The sequence below is a fragment of the Homo sapiens genome, chromosome 3 (assembly GCF_000001405.40).
Source record: "Homo sapiens chromosome 3, GRCh38.p14 Primary Assembly".
Taxonomy (NCBI): domain Eukaryota; kingdom Metazoa; phylum Chordata; class Mammalia; order Primates; family Hominidae; genus Homo; species Homo sapiens.
This window is the reverse complement of record NC_000003.12, coordinates 15,461,842-15,480,315: the sequence shown is the minus strand read 5'-3', so window position 1 is coordinate 15,480,315 and position 18,474 is coordinate 15,461,842. Positions and strand designations below refer to the sequence as shown.

The 18,474-nt window shown below is 45.9% G+C and overlaps 1 protein-coding gene across 3 annotated transcripts in view; it reads left to right on the top strand.

The window, feature by feature from the left end:
* Positions 1-18,474, top strand: part of COLQ (collagen like tail subunit of asymmetric acetylcholinesterase) — a 71,574-nt gene that overhangs the window by 41,391 nt on the left and 11,709 nt on the right. For all 3 annotated transcript variants that reach the window (NM_080539.4, NM_005677.4, NM_080538.2), the window contains 9 exons: positions 934-978; positions 1,313-1,339; positions 3,119-3,190; positions 4,829-4,891; positions 5,365-5,391; positions 6,044-6,088; positions 6,281-6,316; positions 9,700-9,780; positions 13,879-13,975. In NM_080539.4, the coding sequence (NP_536800.2) occupies positions 934-978; positions 1,313-1,339; positions 3,119-3,190; positions 4,829-4,891; positions 5,365-5,391; positions 6,044-6,088; positions 6,281-6,316; positions 9,700-9,780; positions 13,879-13,975 (493 nt within the window). The remainder of the gene's footprint in view (positions 1-933; positions 979-1,312; positions 1,340-3,118; positions 3,191-4,828; positions 4,892-5,364; positions 5,392-6,043; positions 6,089-6,280; positions 6,317-9,699; positions 9,781-13,878; positions 13,976-18,474) is intronic.

Genomic DNA, 18,474 nt, shown 5'->3' with positions numbered 1-18,474 from the left:
TTAGGAGATATACCTAATGTGAATGACAAGTTAGTGGGTGCAGCACACCAAGATGGCACATGTATACATATGTAACAAATCTGCACGTTGTGCACATGTACCCTAGAACTTAAAGTATAATTTAAAAAAAGAAATCATATTTCAAACAGGCTTTGCACTATGCATGTTCACCTGCAGATCCTGGGGTTGCAGTGGGGGCCTGGGGAATTTTGATGAATTTCCTCTCTGCTGTTTTGGAGAATTTGGAAAACAGCTGACTGAGCATTTTGCAGGCACATTCTGGCTGTGGATATGCAAAGCTTTGATGCAGTGAGTTGTAGGGTCCCTGAGCTAGAGTCAGCTCCTCTCCAAGGCACAAAAATGCACTCTTTACTTGCCAACATTCTTAGTGTCTTAAAAAAGAAGACTTTTTTCCTGCTGAAGAAAGGCAAAAATTATTTGGCACCTAGTACCCACAAATTGACCATGGGAATTTCCAAGGTGGCAGCTGCTGCTATGTGCAAAACTTAACTTGTCTCTTGTCAGGCCCCCAGGGAAGTTTGGCAAGAGTAACTGAAAAGATATGAGAGGTGATGAAGCCTCTTGTTTTCAGCAAATGGGATTTATTCAAGACTCTTTTGTTGCTCTCAACAAGCACTTGGGATGTTTTATGCAAACAAAGAGTTACAGGGAGAAAATTAAAACCACAGAGTAGATATGTAAGCATTGCAACCATGGAGCCACTGGAAAACCAGCTCAGAGAAAGCTAAAGAGGAGGAACAGAGGAGGGGACTGGGCTGGAGGGCAAAGGAAAAGCCTCCATGGGTCCCTGGAGCCCTACATCTGCCCAGAGAATGATGTTGCTGCTGTAGGAGCCCAGTGCACCAAGAGCCTCACACCCATCCAGCTTCAGACTGATATATACTTTCTTCACTTTTTATCTTGATTGATTAGGGTCCACCGGGGCTTCCTGGCAAGACAGGACCAAAGGGAGAAAAGGTATGGACCACTACTTTCTTCAACCCTTCTTTCCTTGGCAATTCCAGCCTGTTTTCTGGGCATCCCACTGAGAATTTCCTAGTTGAGATTTCCAAACATGTGCTAACTCTGCCTTGGTGAGAGGCTGGGTTCCATGATGGCTGGGCTGCTGCAGCACATATGGGATACCACTGGTGTATTTTGACGTGGCCTATCGACATGGCAGAGGGGCCGTGAGCAGCAGCCAAGCAACTGAGCCACATGGCCATGCCCAGTCATCAGCTCTACTAAGGCTTCTGCTTCCAGAACATCTCTTCCAAAGCAGCCTCTCCTTACCTGTCTTCTCCATCCATAGGGGGAGCTTGGCCGACCAGGAAGGAAGGTATGGTCTGCGCTGTTCTGTGAGTGTCACATGAGCGTCTGTGCTTCATGTGTGTGCATGCACTCCTAGGGAGGGGGGAACAGCAATGCACTTCAGTGGTCACTGATACCCAGGTGGACAGTGATGGTGCTGCTGTCTCGATGGTGACAGTAGTAACCTTGCCCTTTCTGTCAACTTCTTTGTTCAGGAGCAGGAGCCTGCTACTGCCAGGCATTCAGACTTCTTCCGGGGGCTGCCAAGCCTGGCCAAATTCCACCCCTCTCACTTCCCGCCCCAACCCCAGACCATCTCACTCTGCTACCCATCAGAGAAACCCTTCATAGCTCCAACCAGTGACATTGAATGACTGTCACTCTCTGTTTGATTAAATTTGAATAAAGTGCCAGAGCAGACAGAAACAAATGGCTTTTGCTTTTTGGCTCAGCTGAAATAAATGGAGGTTACTTAAGGTCACGGTGACTCTGCGTGAACCAAACACATGTTATCAAGGCTCTCATTAGTGTCAGGAGGGAGTAAATCAGCTGCCTATTATATTTGCTGAGGTCAGTGGATACTGGCACTGAATTTCTAGGTCTTGGTTATAGACAAGCGTGCAAAACTTTGGCCAAGAAAGATGTCCATGGCTCTAAATATAAATTACTATATTTATTGTTAAATGGTTTATTAAATGGTTTCATGGTCCACAAGATCCTTAAACAGACTTTTGCAAGACAAAGTTACAACTCTTTAGGGCACAGATGAAAACTATAGCCAAGGCACAGTGGCTGTCTGAAGTGCTGGGGTGGTCTCCATGGCAATGGTCAAAGGATATTCTGCTGTGGTGTCCATGCTCAGGCCTAACAAGGACCATGATTGATTAGTGATGTCGCCATGGATGTGGGAGGCAACAGTAGAAACCAGTACACGTGCCAGGATTTGGTATATCTGGTTTAGGGGCTGAGCCCTTCACATCTCTAGCTAATTGCGAAATTAGCTAATGGGCACAAGGTCAAGATAGGCCCTTAGCACCTGCACCCACTCTCTCTTGCAGGGCTTGCTCTTCCATAGCCCTGGCTTAGGCAGAGACACAGGTGACATGTACCCTGTGCAAGTGAATACATTATTATGGGACCACTCTCGGGAGGAACCTGTAGGGAGAATGGGAGAAGCCAGGCAAAGGTGTGGTATCAGGTGAAGTCGAGCTTTAGCAGTCTGATATCTAGGGGGAGCTTGAGAGTGTCAACTGCCCAAAGGTAAGGGAGCTGGACTATTGGCTGCAGGAAGGAGAGTTACATAAATTACTGGGCAGCTCCAATTGCTCAAGGGCAAACCGCAGTTACAGGTAGCAGAAATGAGCTGTTAGCAGCAAGGAAGGTAGCCTCTGGGCGATGGGCACTCTGAGCAGGTCAAAAAGACCTTGAAAGAGTGCTGACAGCATCTGCTACTGCTCCCCAAATGTAATCCTATCTCATTCCATAGCACATCCTTGGAAAGAACCCATTGGAACGCAGGGGACTTTTGGGTGGGGGTGGGTAGAAGTGACAAAAATTAAAAAACCAAGAAGTTTAGAGTCCCTTTCTCACCACCCTCCATTTCTTGAGAAGAATAAGGTCTTATTTGATGATACAGTGTGACACCAAGGGCTTGTCAGGCCATCAGTCTTCGGAGAGTGGGGATGAGGGTCATAGTAGCCATGCCTAGAGAACCCACTGTCTCCTCTGGGCCCCAGAGACAAAACATATTTATTAGAAGTAAAGAAACAAACCCAGTTGCCCTGACTTTTGTTCTTGGTCTTTGAAGGGTAGACCTGGCCCCCCAGGTGTTCCTGGCATGCCTGGGCCCATCGGTTGGCCAGGCCCTGAAGGACCCAGGGTAAGTGTGGCATGCTCTCAGGGCTCATGCGGTGTCAAAACAAGAGGGGGGAAGATGGCAGCTTTCCTGGCTCCTGGCACATAGTCAGGGAATCCCTTCTTCAAGAGGGGGAAGAAGAAGAGAGCTTAAGGACTGGCCACAGGGCCCCAGATACTTCCTCCTTCACTTGGCCTGCAAGACCTTGATCAGTGCAACAGCTCTGTTCCTGTGGGAGGAGAAATAGGGGGCTGGTACCCTCTTCTACAGGGGCCGTGGTTCTCCTTTGTCCTAGGAACTAGCACCCCACTCTGGTTTCCCTGAGATGACCTAAGAGGGGCTTGCGTCTGGGAAGCTCTTGCCTGTCATGCTGACCTGGCAGGGAATGGAGAGTTGAGAAGGTGGTGTTGGCTGGCTGAAGGATGGAAATCCTACATTCAGAGAGGGATTGTCGAGTGCTGATGAAATCTCCTTCCTCAGTCAGGCTATGGAAAGCAAGCACATCCCCATCTGTGCCTCTGTTTTTCCCACTAGTAGTCATAGACTAGAGGGTTCAGAGGCGTGACTCAGAGTTTTATCTGCAGAAGTCAGAGCTGGGCAGGTGGATCTCACCATCTGCTCTGATTTGTTTACTGGCTATATTATAGCAGTGGAAAACTGTGTGTCCAGTCCTCTTAGGAAAAGTCCCAAAAGGATATTTTAAAAATCCTCTGCATACAGCTGAGCTGTCCTGCACAGCAGCCAGTAGCCACATGTGACCCTCAAGCCCGTGGAATGTTGCTAGTGCTACTGAGGAACTGAATTTTTAAATTTTAACTATTTGAATTAACCTTTACTAAATTCAGTTATTTGAAAATGTTAAAGTATGTTTGGAGCAACTTGAATGCATGAATCTGCTTTTTCAACTATAAATTTTATGATCTCTAAGTACAGATTAAATATTTTGGATGAAAATTTAGCACCTGAATGGAGATGTGTAAATGTAAATTACATAGCAGATTTCAAGTACTTATTATGAAAAGCACAATGTAAAATATCTCAATAATTTTTGTATAGATTACAAGTTGGGATGATTAATTAGATTAAAGGAGATCTATTAAAATTAACTTCATTCGTTTAGTTTTACTTTAAGGTGACTTCTTTTAAAAGTTTAAAATTAAGTATGTGGCTCACCTTATATTTCTATTGGTTAGTGCTGGTATAGAGTATTTTTAGTACAGAGGGTGGGTGCTGGAAGTCCCAACCACAAATCATTCTGAGGACCCTTCCTATGCAAAGAGCAAAGCAGGCAATGTTTTTTGCGTGTATTGACACCTTGTTTTCTGGGGCCCCAGTTCCGTCATGCCCCCTCCACTACTCTCTCACTATCCTCGCTAGGAAAATACCAAGTATTACCATATACAACATCTTAGTGAGCAGTTGGTGTGGGGATCTGCTTCACTTTGGGCGTTTTCATTTTATATTTAATCTTAAACACAAGAATGAAATGTGGAGTACGGAGTTTTGGGACCTCAGGAGGGAGAAAGTGGGTGCATCTGGGGTCCTCAGATTTACAAGCCAGCCCTGATATCCCCAGTTCCTTCCCAATCTTGCCTGTGACTTCCTGGTTCAGTTTCTCTAAAAAATATCACCGTGGGTCTTTTCTTCTTCTAATTCCCACAGGGTGAAAAAGGTGACCTGGGTATGATGGGCTTGCCAGGGTCAAGAGGACCAATGGGCTCCAAGGTCAGTGTGGGGTCCAAATGGACGTTCCCAGATCTCTGTCAGGCTCTGGAGCAGCTGCTGTCTACAAACATAGGGACTGGGTGGGGCTGCAGTCCCGGACTAGGGAATGTCGCGGATATTGGAGAGCCTGCCTTTACCAGCCCTTTGGAGAACATCATGCCCTGGGATGCAGGGGCATAGGGATGCCATTCCTGCTGTTCTCTTGGGCAGGAAGAACCAAGCTTCTGGACATCAGAGCAGATGGAAACCTTTGATCAGGACTTTGCAGAGTGATAAAAGCAATGTTCCTTTTAGGCCTGGTATAACCACAACCCTCTGGGACATCTTTGTGTTTGGTGCTGCAACCCCACTAAAACTCACAGTGCAATGTGGAGACATACCTTACCACCACATTCAGGGATTCCTTCTATTCTTCCACCAAACTCAGAAGTCCTACAGGGCTGATTGTAAATGTACCTTCTGCTTTCTTTTAGGGCTACCCTGGATCCAGAGGGGAAAAGGTTAGTGCTTTTCTTGGATGGTGTCCTAGAGCCTGGTCTGGGCTACTGGCTCTGGAATCAGAGACATGCAGAGAATGGGTCCAGGTCTCTCTTTAGTCTGCAACTGAAGCCACCATCCCTAGCTATTCCCCACCCTTTGTCAGTGGACTGAGAGAGAAGTGAGGGACCTCCTGAAGCAGGGCAAGCTGGTAAGAGAAGGGCTCCCCATAGAGGCAGAGGCCCCTCGTGTGGAGCACATAAGCAAATGAAGGCCGTGCCAGGTAGAGAATAAGCACAGTTTGCACAGAGTGCTGGAGGAAATTGGTGATGCATGTCTTTAGGCCAAGCTTTCACCACCACACAACCTTCTGACCTGGCCAAAAACCAAATCAAAACAGCATCAACCTGTGGACAAATTTCCTACAGGATGAGAGAGGATTTGGGGCCCAGAATTTTCCGTGAGTTGTCCTTTATGAATGCAAGAGGTCTTTGGGGTTCAACAAGAAGTAGATCACAAAGCATTCCTTCCCTGGAGAAGTCACCTGACATATCTGAGCCTATTTCTTCACTTGTAAAATGAGGGTTTTGGTTTAGGGAGCTTTTCAGTTTGAAATGCTTGAATTTCCCTCCCAGGATATTAACTCATTGACTTTCTCCTATGGTTTCTTCCTAGGGATCCAGAGGTGAAAAGGGTGACCTGGGTCCCAAAGGAGAAAAGGTAATGGAGAAAACCTTTCCATAGAAATGATAAATGTCAGTGCAAGTAGCAGCCCCCACCCACCCCCATCCGTGGACTGATGATGGACTGATGGACAGGCCTCCATCTTGAAAATGACCAACAAAGCCTGTCCACAGCCATTTCAGGTGTTATTTCAGAGGTGATCACAATTATTTGTTGCTCTTTTCACAGGGTTTCCCAGGATTTCCTGGAATGTTGGGGCAGAAAGTAAGTAACCTTGAGGTAGTGAAAATAGGCCTCAATAAAAATATCAGGTCCTCCAAGCACAACAAAAAGAACTCTGCCTCCTTGTCTATCAGGCAGGGATGGTGGGTTTAACCATGGAAACTTCTATTTTGGGACGGGAAGCAAGTTGCTTTTCACCCTGGGGAGAGGGTGGCAGGATGGTCTGGAGCCTCCCTCTAGCTCAATGGGAAGGAAAGGACAACCCATCTGGGTTTTGGGTTTTTGTTTGTTTGTTTGTTTTTTTGCTTTTTTGCTTTTCCTACCTCTTAGAGGGCTGTGGTCCTATTCAAATGCAGAAACCTTTCTCACAGGGGACTCAGATCTGAGCCACAACGGTCAAAGCCCCTGTCAGCACACAGGCCTCAGTGTAAGGCACAGGTGTCTTTAGCTTAAGGTCACTGTGCCTTATTGCAGTCCTTCTTCAAGGGCGGTGCACATACTGCCAGAAGGACACAAAAGTATTTGAACTGAAGACTGCTAACATTGTTTAAGAGTTAAATTTTGTATTTAAATAGTTAAATATTGGCCAGGCATGGTGCCTCATGCCTGTAATCCCAGCACTTTGGGAGGCCGAGGTGGGCAGATGGCTTGAACCCAGGAGTTCGAGACTAGCCTGGGCAACATGGTGAAATCCCATTTCTACCAAGAAAAATATACAAAACATTAGCTGGGCATGGTAGTTCGCACCTGTAGTGCCAGATACTTAGGAAGGTGAGGCGGGAGGGTGGCCTGAGCCCAGGAGTCAAAGCTGCGGTAAGCCATGATTGCACCACTGCACTCCAGCCTGGGCCACAGAGGCAGACCCTGTCTCAATAAATAAATAAATAGTTAAATATTTAATGGATATCTTGCTTGGGACAAGGCTTAATAAAAAAGGGTCCATTTCAGGTAACTTAAAGAAAAAAATACTCAGCTTGGGCAATATAGTACTATCTCATCTCTAAAAAAAAAAAAATTAGCAGGTCATGGTGGCACATGCCTATAGTCCCAGCGACTCAGGAGGCTGAGGTGGGAGAATTGCTTGAGCCCAGGTGATTGAGGCTGCAGTGAGCCGAGATTATGCCACTGCTCTCCAGCCTGGGCACAGAGAAAGACCATGTCTCTGAAAAAAAAGAAAAGAAAAGAAAAGAAGAAAGAAGTGAAGAAAGAGAGAGAGAGAAAGAAAGAAAAATATTCAGTAAATAGCAAAACAGTGGTATATAGAGATGACAAAAATTGTGAAGGTGACTGTTGACCAACATATGTTTTGAAACTTTTACCGAGGGTTAGGGTTGGGGAAGAAGAACAAGGGTAGTTGAGGGGGAATGTCAGAGAATAAAGAGAGAAAAGGGCATACATGGCCATTTGGAACAGCTCCTAAGCTAACATCATTTTGGCTCCTCATGCCATAAGACATTGACATTGGAAATTGTTATTTTAACATAGTTCTCAAACCATCATATTCTTCAAACATGCAAAGGGGATGCTTTGTTAGTATTTTTCATTTTTAAAAGTTCACCTTAAAGTTTTATTTACCAAACTAAAACAATTTTTATCTTACCTTTTCTAGTCAGTGGAAAGTGTTTAAATATTTTCAATCAACATGCATTAATTTATTATATCACTACCTTAAGCTGTCAGAAACTACACTCTGCTACCCTAGGTAGGGTGTTGGGTTAAAAGAATAGATTAATTATATAAGCAAATTAAAGGAAGTGTTAAAAGAGAAAAAACAGTTTTACTTAAAAATATTTAGATTAGCTTTTCATTCAGGGCAACAGTGAACGTCAAAGAATAATAAATTACTGTAAAATTAAGTATGGCAGCTTCTCTGTCCTCTGCACCATTTACTAGACTTCCCATCTGAAGAGTTGTCTTCCCCTTTTATGACAGGCTGTTTTAAGACAGAGCTGATATGATGACCATAATTAGGTCTTGGGAGAGAAATTAGATCAAGAAATTCCTGACTGCTTCAAGCTAATGTAGAGAAGGGCCACACTTCCTTCTGACAATCCCTGAAAAAAAAAAAAAAATGCTGCTTGTGCTGCTGTTTTCTCCCAGCCATAAAGACATCCCCGAGCCTCTCTAAAACAGCCAGGGAAAAACTGCAAGCATCTCCATGGCATGCGGCATCCATCCTATCCTCTCACACGCTCCCATTCCCTAGAGAATGTTGAAGGATGTATGGGTTGGAAAGAAATAACAGATTTAAGGACAATTCTTGGTGAAACAAGACATTGGTGGCTTGGGTAGGGACACATTGGCTGAGCTGACAGATAATTTCAGAGCTTTATGTTTGATCCTTTCCATATACAGGTGTTCCCTGGAATTTTCCATTGTGTTATACCTCCTCTGACTGCCATGTGAAAAAGTGCCTGGGTGTTTTTTGTTCTCTCTGAGTGTCTGGGCAGCTCTTCATGGGCACTGGCTGCTGATTAACACTCATGGTTGCTATTGCTAAATTTTTCTTGTTGGCTGTGCATTCTGGGCTGTTGGGGGATTACTGGAGATAGGAATGAAGCGCCCTGTGGGCTGACCCAAAGAAATAGTAAGTGGGGCTGGAATCCATGTAGAAGAAAATGGGGAAGAAGGAGAGAAACTAAGATGGAGAAATGAGTTTTGTGAAATATTGGCCTTAAACTATGAAATTCTGCAATGGGTACATTGGGTTTTGATAGTTCAACATAGAGCTTTACAAACAGGAATATTGTTTCCATTGTTCTCCATGCCTTTTTCAATAATTATATTGAAGATGTGAACATATGTTTGGAACATCTCTCCCACAAAAGAACTTTCATCTAAATCAAATGGAAGTGAGCTGGAACTCAAACCAATGCTTACTAAGAGTGGGCAAGCACATAATCCTAAGCAAGAGTCATTAAATGAGTAGAAACTTCCCAAAGATGACAGCTGGCAAAACAGTGTCCAATCATTTAAAAACCTCCAGATTTGAATTTGTGCTAAAAACAGCACGTAAGAAAACACAACATAAAATTCCAACTAGAAGGAAAGCGTTTTCCCAGACAGCTTGTAGTAATTAGCACAGGCATGCTGTGCTGGATGCCCCAGCCTCTCACTGCCTGTTCTGGGTGATGATTTGTCTCTTCTATTTGGCCATCAAAATGTGTGCTGCTCCACACCTGTCCCTCTCAGGTAACAGATAACCCACTCAGAATTACCTTCTTCCTTCCCTCCTCTTCCATGAAAGACATGTCTGCCTTTCTCATGACTTCCTCACTCTGCTAACCTTGCAGGGCAGCCCAGTTGGCATAGATTCGGAATGATCAAGTAGACTGCCCTCGTAGCCAATGACTGGCTAGACCTGTGTAGATGTGCCCACTCCACATGCCCTAAGTCCTCTCTTGCTTCTCTTTCCTTCTTTCCAGGGTGAAATGGGTCCAAAAGGTGAACCTGGGATAGCAGGACACCGAGGACCCACAGGAAGACCAGGAAAACGAGGCAAGCAGGTAAGGATCCCAGGGCTTACCACCCGCCTGAGGTCAGAACTTCCTGACCTGGCAGTGTGTGGAGTGGCAGGCAGGTGGCGTTAATCAGAGATATTCTGTAGACCTTGACTCCAGCATCCTCTGGGCTAGCAGACGGGAGCAGCACCACTTCCAGAAGCTGCTGGCATCTCTAGGCTAGCCGTAGTTTGAAGTGGATGGGATAGGATGCTCCATGTGAACTGTGCCAAGGCCAGAAGCAAGAGTGGATATTTGGTTCATAAAAATAAGTCTGTCTTAACCAAAGCAGCTAGGAATGGAAGGCAGATATGGTCATTTACCCAGAAAACCTATTTTATGCTTCAATGTCCCAGACACAAATGAAGTTTTAAAAATGAGCCTAGATATTTTCCTGCTGTTGAGAGGTCTTCTGGGTCTCAACAATAGGGTGGTTTTTCCCTACTCAGGCCTCCAATTTGTAAGTGACCTTTTTTCTTGGGTTGATTAACATGCTTAAGGCAGTTGTTCATTCTGAACTCCCCCTGGTCAGCAGGCTCTTGTGTTAAGCCATGTGATGTGACATGACTGCTCTAGAGACAGCCTTAGCTGTCTCATATATAATCCTGAGAGGTAAACATCTTTGGATGGAAGCTTTTTCCATTCTTTTACTTATTTCCTTAGGCTATATCTGTGGCCCACAAACTTAATCTTACATCAAGATCACCTGGGGGTGGGGCCGGTGATTAAATACAGATGTACAGATCCCCCACATCAGGTGCAATGGTTGTAGTTCCAAGCTTGCCACTCCTCATCCCCAGTGCCTAGGCCTTATTTTCCAAAGACCATAATATAATTGACCTGGAATGAGCTTTCAGCATGGGTTTGGTTATTTTTTTTTAAGCTCCATATGATTTTAATGTGCAGCCAGGTTTCAGAACCATAATAACACTATGAAGCCAATTCTGGTCTTTTCCCAATCAATTTAGAAAGAACACAGGCTCCAACCTGGAAAATTTAGACTGTGCAGTAACTTTCGAAGTTACAATCATCCAGTCCAGTTTTCAAACTTTGATCATGGGTAGCATGGTCATGGTTTCACAATGATGCCACAGATACCAATTTCTTAAAAGTAGGCTCAGATAAAAAAGGAAAAATATGGGGGAGAAATCTTTTCTTATATCACTTTATCCCCTCCTAATGATTTCCATTCATAATATTTTAAGCTTGGGGTTCCAGAAGCTTCCTGGCTTCCTTCTGTCTTGGGCAGTGTTTGCCTTTTCCTAGTTCCTGGCGATAACCAAAGCCAGGAAGGCCATTTCTTGAGCCTGCTGAGACTAATTCCGTTGGAATCATAAAAGCTACACCAAAACCACATCTGGGAGCTCAGAGAAGTTAGAGAAAAGAGCCCAAGCTTTCGACAAGACATTGTGAACAACCCGAGGGTGCTGCAAACCCTCGGTGTTGGGGTCGTTCCAGTTGGGAGATAACGAATTGTTAGCCTTAGAAGCCTGATGTGGTATTTATTTTTATCATGAATTAATCTCCCAGCATAGTCTTACATACTCTTTGTTTGTTGGCCAGCAGTGCTGAGAGTCTCTGAAAGTTATTGTTAAGTCAATCCAAAGCCAAAAATCAGAAATTCAGAAGGAATTTCAGATAGTAATTTCTGTGCCAGAAGGATTACAGAGACCACTTAATCCAGTCTCCTCAGGTTATTCTCAAGGAAGCTGAGGGCCAGGGAGGTGGAGTTGCTTGCCCAAGACCCCTCCATGAAGTCAGCTTCAAAGCCAGGATTAGAATCCAGAGAGTTGAGTTGAGACCAACTTTCCCCACATGACTTCTTCTCTCAGCTACCTTCATGCTTCAGGACTTGCCTTCAGGCAAGCCCAGGAAAGCAGCTGTTGACTTTATTATAAAAATCTTCTCAGCCGGGAGTGGCGACTCATGCCTATAATCCCAGCACTTTGGGAGGCCAAGGCAGGCAGATCACCTGAGGTCAGGAGTTCGAGACCAGCCTGGCCAACATACAGTGACATCCCACCTCTACTAAAAAATACAAAAATTAGCTGGGCATGGTGGCACACACCTCTAGTCCCAGCTGCTTGGGAAACTGAGGCAGGAGTTGCTTGAACGCAGGAGGCAGATGTTGCAGTGAGCTAAGATCACGCCACTGCACTCCAGCCTGGGCGACAGAGCAAGACTCCGTCTCTCAAAAAAAAAAAAAAAAAAAAAAAAAAACTTCAGTAACTGAGAAACAATTTCCTTGAGAGAGATCACCCAACTTTGTGGCAAATAAGGAATAAAGAATGCCTTTCCTGGAAAGCTCTACTCAGTGAGTCCTGCTGATAGAGACGTGGCTCATTCTGAGCGATGGCCGATAAGCGGAATATTCCATTACTGCTGGTGTCAGAATGAAGGAGCATTTCCAGCTCCTTCAAGCTTTGGCACTTCCTTTGCTCAGAGCCAGCTGACATGGCCGTTAGAAAAACAAGACTGAACTGTGGCTATATTAAGATGTGTGACTTCCTTTGCCATCCTGAGACCCAGCTTGGTTACTGCAGGGAATGCTTCAGCTAGGCTGAGGCTTAAGAACTCCCTCCATAAACATGGAATCAGAAATAAACTCTGACCTCACGGATCCCATATTCAGAGTTCAAGAACTCCTTGCACATTACCAAGACGGCCCCCAGTGCCATGTGGACAAGGCAGCCGGTCACCTGTCACCGTTGTGGCTGGAAAGGAGTCCCAAGCCTGCCTGCTCCCCAGATTTGAGGAAGATTACATTTCATCAGGTGGGCAAGCCTGCCAAGGCGCAAGTGTAGTAAGAAGAACCAGGTCAAAAATGGCAAGTGTCAATCACTGCTCTGATTAGGCCTGAGGCAAGAGCAGACAATTAGCAAATTGCTCAGGGGAAGAGTCAATAGCATGCACCAGCCTTGGTTTCGGGGTGACTCCTAAGAGCAACCCTGAGGGAGAACAAAGAGCCCAGTCTTTGCTCTTGATACTCCCAGAATAGGCAGAAAAGAGGACACTCCATGTGGAACGGCTGTAGCCACAGATGTGCCCTTTTTAATAAACCAAGACTTAACTACGTGAAACAGATGGAACCAAGCCAGTTGCTGTGATAATTGGCTTGCCCCACATAGCTCTTCGTTCTGTACAAACCACATTTTCACATCTGAGATCTTTGTTAGTTTCACAGACCTATGTGGGTGTAAATTTACTGGCCTCATTTTAAAGATGACAAAACTGAGGTACAAAGCAATGACATGAGTTACCTGGAGTCTCAAGGTCAAGGTGAAACCTCTGGATTTACAGATCAGCAAAGCTGCCTACCATTGTGTTTCTAGCATCTTTGTCCTCCCTCATTTCATCTGGGGAAAGGAGGTGAGCTAGACAGATTCCAGCCCATAGGGAGTGTATGTCTCATGGGGAGACATCAATGAAATGACCACACAAATAATCCATATGCTATGATCTGGGATAAATGCCATGAAGGAAACAGGCTGAGTTATGAGAGCTTATGGTGGGGTGAACTGACTCCATCCAGGAAGGTCAGGGAAGGCTTTGCCATAGGGCATTTGAGCTGAGAGCCAAAGGGTGAGTGACAGTTAACTAGGCTAGGGGGAAGGAAGAGATTTTGGGGCAGAGAGAAGGGTCTTGAGAAGGGGGATAATAGACATGGTGCCCTTGAAGACCAAAAAGGCCAAAAGGCTGGAATGAAGCTGGAAAGCCTAGCCATGCAAGGCTTCGCAGGCTGCAGTAAAGAGCTAAGTCTTTATCCTGAGTGCAACGGGAAGCCAATGAGTGAAAATAGCTCATTTCTAGGCCTCCATTTCCTCATCTGCCCAGGGCCTAGAGTAGATTTGACTGGTTCCTTTCAGCTGCCATGTGCCACATTTGTAGAGCAAGAACTAAGGTCTACAAATTTGTAGCCATCACTATCTCAAATGTCACTTGCCCTAAGCTTATTAAGAGCTCGATGGTCAAGACCTCTGGAGCTGCATCCCCCACTGGGCTCTTGCTCCTTAAGTGCAAGGTGATCTCTGATTTGGTGATAAATGGGGCGGGAAGCTTGCTATGTCATGCTTTCATAACAGGCTCTGCCTTTCTCTCTGTCAGGGACAGAAAGGGGATAGTGGAGTTATGGGCCCACCAGGCAAGCCTGGGCCTTCTGGTCAACCTGGCCGTCCGGGGCCCCCAGGCCCCCCACCTGCAGGTAAGAGCTACACTGCTTCACTTGATCCACTGTTGGAGTACTGGCCAGCCTCCCAGAGAGGGCACAAGGAGATGCCAGCAGAGATGCCTTGTGTTTCAAGTTAGAAACTACCAGAGACACTCCAATATCTTTGTAATTTCTCCACGATTTAGCTCATTCAACTTTTATGCAAGAGAGATAAATGCCATTCTGAATTTGTTTTAGCATTCTGGAGAACAAATAGAGGACAGAAAAAAAGCACATTAATGATGTCATTTATACCTTAAGTGAAAAATAACAGGAACATATTTCATCAACTAATACCTTTTTCTAGATAAAAGTGTCATGGCTCCAAGCAATTCTCTTAAACCTAGAAGTAAAGGTGACATTGCAGGTTTTTTCCAATTTACAGTGTTATAAAAGAGTCCTTATTTGTTTGCAATAGCTAGAGAAAGAGGCTGGGCATGGGTGGCTCACGCCTGTTATTTCAGCACTTTGGGAGGCCGAGACGGGCAGATCACTTGAGGTCAGGAGTTTGAAACCAGCCTGGTCAACCATGGCAAAAACCGTTCTGTTTTTGCTAAAATACAAAAATACAAAAATTAGCCTGGCATGGTGGCACGCGGCTGTAATCCCAGCTACTCTGAGGCTGAGGCAGAAGAATCACTTGAACCTGGGAGGCGGAGGTTGCAGTGAGCTGAAATTGTGCCATCTCGAAACTCTGTCTCCAAAAAAAAAAAAAAAAAAAAAAGATGTAGAAAGAAATTACTAAAATAAAATAAAAAAATAAAAAGTTGGCTGGGCGCGGTGGGTCACGCCTGTAATCCCAGCACTTTGGGAGGCCGAGGTGGGCAGATCACGAGATCAGGAGATTGAGACCATCCTGGCTAACACGGTGAAACCCCATCTCTACTAAAAATACAAAAAATTAGCCGGGCGTGGTGGCGGGCGCCTATAGTCCCAGCTACTTGGGAGGCTGAGGCAGGAGAACGGCATGAACCTGGGAGGCGGAGCTTGCAGTGAGTCGAGATCGCGCAACTGCACTCCAGCCTGGGTGACAGAGCGAGACTCCATCTCAAAATAAATAAATAAATAAATAAATAAATAAATAAATAAATAAATAAATCAAAATATAAAGTCTGTTATTGAGAAGGGCATAGATACACTGCTTCCTTGTATGTTGTTTTCAAGACGGAGCCTTGCTCTGTCGCCCAGGTTGGAGTGCAGTGGTGCGATCTTGGCTCACTGCAACCTCCACCTCCCGGGTTCAAGTGATTCCCCTGCCTCAGCCTCCTGAGTAGATGGGATTACAGGTGCCTTCCACCACGCCTGGCTAATTCTTGTATTTTTAGTAGAGATGGGGTTTCACCATTTTGTTCAGGCTGGTCTGGAACTCCGGACCTCGTGATCCGCCCACCTCGGCCTCCCAAAGTGCTGGGAATACAGGCGTGAGCCACCACACCCAGCTGCTGCTTCCTCTTTTACCTCATTCAATTTTATTAGCTAAGCCCTTTATTTCGTTCCCTTGTCAGCTCATGGTAGGGGCTTTCACAGCACATCAACTGTATAAAGACAGTATCAAGAAGATCATTTGTTGACTGCAACATTTTCTGTCTTCAGTTATACAAAAGGAATCCAAACAATTTTTATTCCAACTTTTTTCTTAAGAAAATGAAGACATTTACAATTCCACAGTGTATTCCCCCTCCTCCTGTGTTTATGGAACTATATTTGCAACCACATCATGGGATGGGCAAGAAATGTCATATTTTGTTAGATCCTTTAAACTAAGTTAAATCTGGCTCTGAGAGTCCAACCTACTAGGATGCCAAATAAATTAATTCAGGCATTATTAGGATTTTCACTACTCCTCCAACAACCACAAATAGGTTGGGCAAAGATCCTGGTGAATTATGGCAGAAAAATGTCAGGGAAGGTCCCTCCAACCTTTGGTCTACTCCATTCACCTCTGAAATAGAGTAGAAATAGAAATAGACTTGTTGTCCAAGTCCCTGTGGTCCACAGATACCTGGTGGCTGCTGTTCTCATGCCATACGTGGGTATCAGAACATTTTCAAGGCTGGGAGTCCTGGTCCCCACAGTTCAACTTTCCAAGGAGCACCCCACAACCATTCTTTCTGAGACCTGTCTCTTTCTCAGGATACAAGGGGTCCCTCTCCTGTCCATGTCTAGGGAGGTCTCTCCTCTTCCATCCCTGACCCCTCCTTCCTCATACTCCTCATATACCAGCACCCCAATTAGGAGCTTTGTCCTTCAGAGAACAGAAGGCAGAAAGAAAAGTTTGTTTCCAATAGTACCTGCTTTTAGCAAGGGCAAGAAAGCACAAACTCTTGCTACCTCCTTGAAATAGGGAGAGGAGGAAGGAAATACTGGGAGAACAAACACTGATTAGTATGGGTAATAACTTATGTTTGCTGCGCCTGTTTCCATGTTGTTAGGGGAATCAGATTTGAGATGCAGCCCAGGCCATGTGCCCACACTCCATAATTCATTTCTGGAATTGGCTGGATGATCTGAATGGGGGTCCTTTCAACTAGTCCTCTTCCTCCTTGGTTCTGGAAGGCATGATGTCCCCCTGGAGCCCCATAACTATGAGCTACCAACCGCAGAGACTGAGAGCTTGGCCTGAGTTGTGCCTTCAGAAGGGACTCTCTTGGCCCCTGGGGTACCTAGGGGCTCACAAAACTGAGGAGTAGGCCAGGCGCGGTGGCTCACACCTGTAATCCCAGCACTTTGGAAGGCCGAGGTGGGCAGATCATGAGGTCAGGAGATCGAGACCATCCTGGCTAACACAGTGAAACCCCATCTCTACTAAAAATACAAAAAATTAGCCGGGCGTAGTGGCGGGCGCCTGTAGTCCCAGCTACATGGGAGGCTGAGGCAGGAGAATGGCATGAACCCGGGAGGCGGAGCTTGCAGTAAGCCAAGATCGAGTCACTGCACTCCAGCCTGGGTGACAGAGCAAGACTCCATCTCAAAAAAAACAAAAAACAAAAAACAACAAAAACAACAAAAAAAAACAAAACCAAAACCAAAAAAAACTGAGGAGTAGTCCAGGGGCAATGGGATTGGTGGATGTGGGATGTGTAGGAGATCCTTAGCGGACTGGGATCTTAATGGTCTCACTGTGTTTATCTCTTTGTAAAGGCCAGCCCTCACCTGACTTGTCTGGTTCCCTCCTGGGGCTAGGGGATGGATGAGAAGGGCTAGGCTGGAGCTGTCAGCAGCTTCTTGGTGCCTGCTGTTTCTCTTGTCTTGTCTGTCTTCGGTGTATTGCAATCCTGTCCTCTTAGCAGGCCCCGCAGAGTCATACTTTTTCTCCCTGGCCTTCCAGCTCCCTCTCTTCCACCCAGTATGCCCACCTCCCTCTCCCTTGACTACCCCAGCCTCTGCCCAATCACGCCCTGCCCTCTACCCTTCAGAGGACACCTTGCCGTCTGTGGAGCTGGAGCTATTCCTATGGTCTCTCTGGGTCCACATGACCTTACATGGCACTCCTCTCACCTTCTGTCCATCCAACAAAATTCTCTGTTCCTTTGAAGCTCTCTTTTCAGTAAGGCCTTCCTTGGCCCCTAACAGGATGGATCACCCTCCCCTGAGCCCTGGTCATTGCCTCTCTGTTATGGCCTCTCCATTGGTAACGTTTCTGCAGATGTGTTTCATCTTCCCACTAGATCCTTGAGGGCGAGGTAGGCGGCTGAGTCAGCTTCACATCCCCAGTGGCACCTGGTATGTGGGTGGACAGGGCTGCTTCCTGCAGGGGCTCCCAGGCAGGGGTTCTGTGGGTTCACAGTTCATCTCCTTAGGAGCCAAGCAGGGTGGGACCATCTCTTTGGATTGATGCCCCCGCCCCCCATTCCGTCCTTTGAGCCACTTCCTTTCTGAGGAGGCTTCCTGAGTGAGCGGGCTGAAGAAGGTAAAGAGAAGATGGGGCAATAAATAATCCTGCTCTTTGGAAAATATTGGAGGGGTGGGGAGAGAGGGCAAGGAAGGAGTTAAAAAGAGATATTCAGCCGGGCGCGGTGGCTTACGCCTGTAATCCTAGCACTTGGGGAGGCTGAGGTGGACGGATCACTTGAGGTCAGAAGTTTGAGACCAGCCTGGCCAACATGGTGAAACCCCCATCTCTACTAAAAATACAAAAATTAGCCGGGCATGGTAGCGGGCACCTGTAATCCCAGCTACTCAGGAGGCTGAGACAGGAGAATCACTTGAACCCGGGAGGCGGAGGTTACAGTGAGCCGAGATCTCGCTACTGCACTCCCGCCTGGGCGACAGAGTAAGACTCCATCTCAAAAATAAATAAATAAATAAATAAATAAATAAATAAATAAATAAATAAGTTATCCCTGTGCCTGGGACCAGTTGGATAATCATCCAGAGTTGGACTAGGCCCCCCAAATTGGTTCCTGACACTACCTTTGACAGTCTGATGAAAGTCCCAAACCCATTCTCGGGGGGGAAAAAACTGTATATACCTACATCCAAGGTTTTGCACC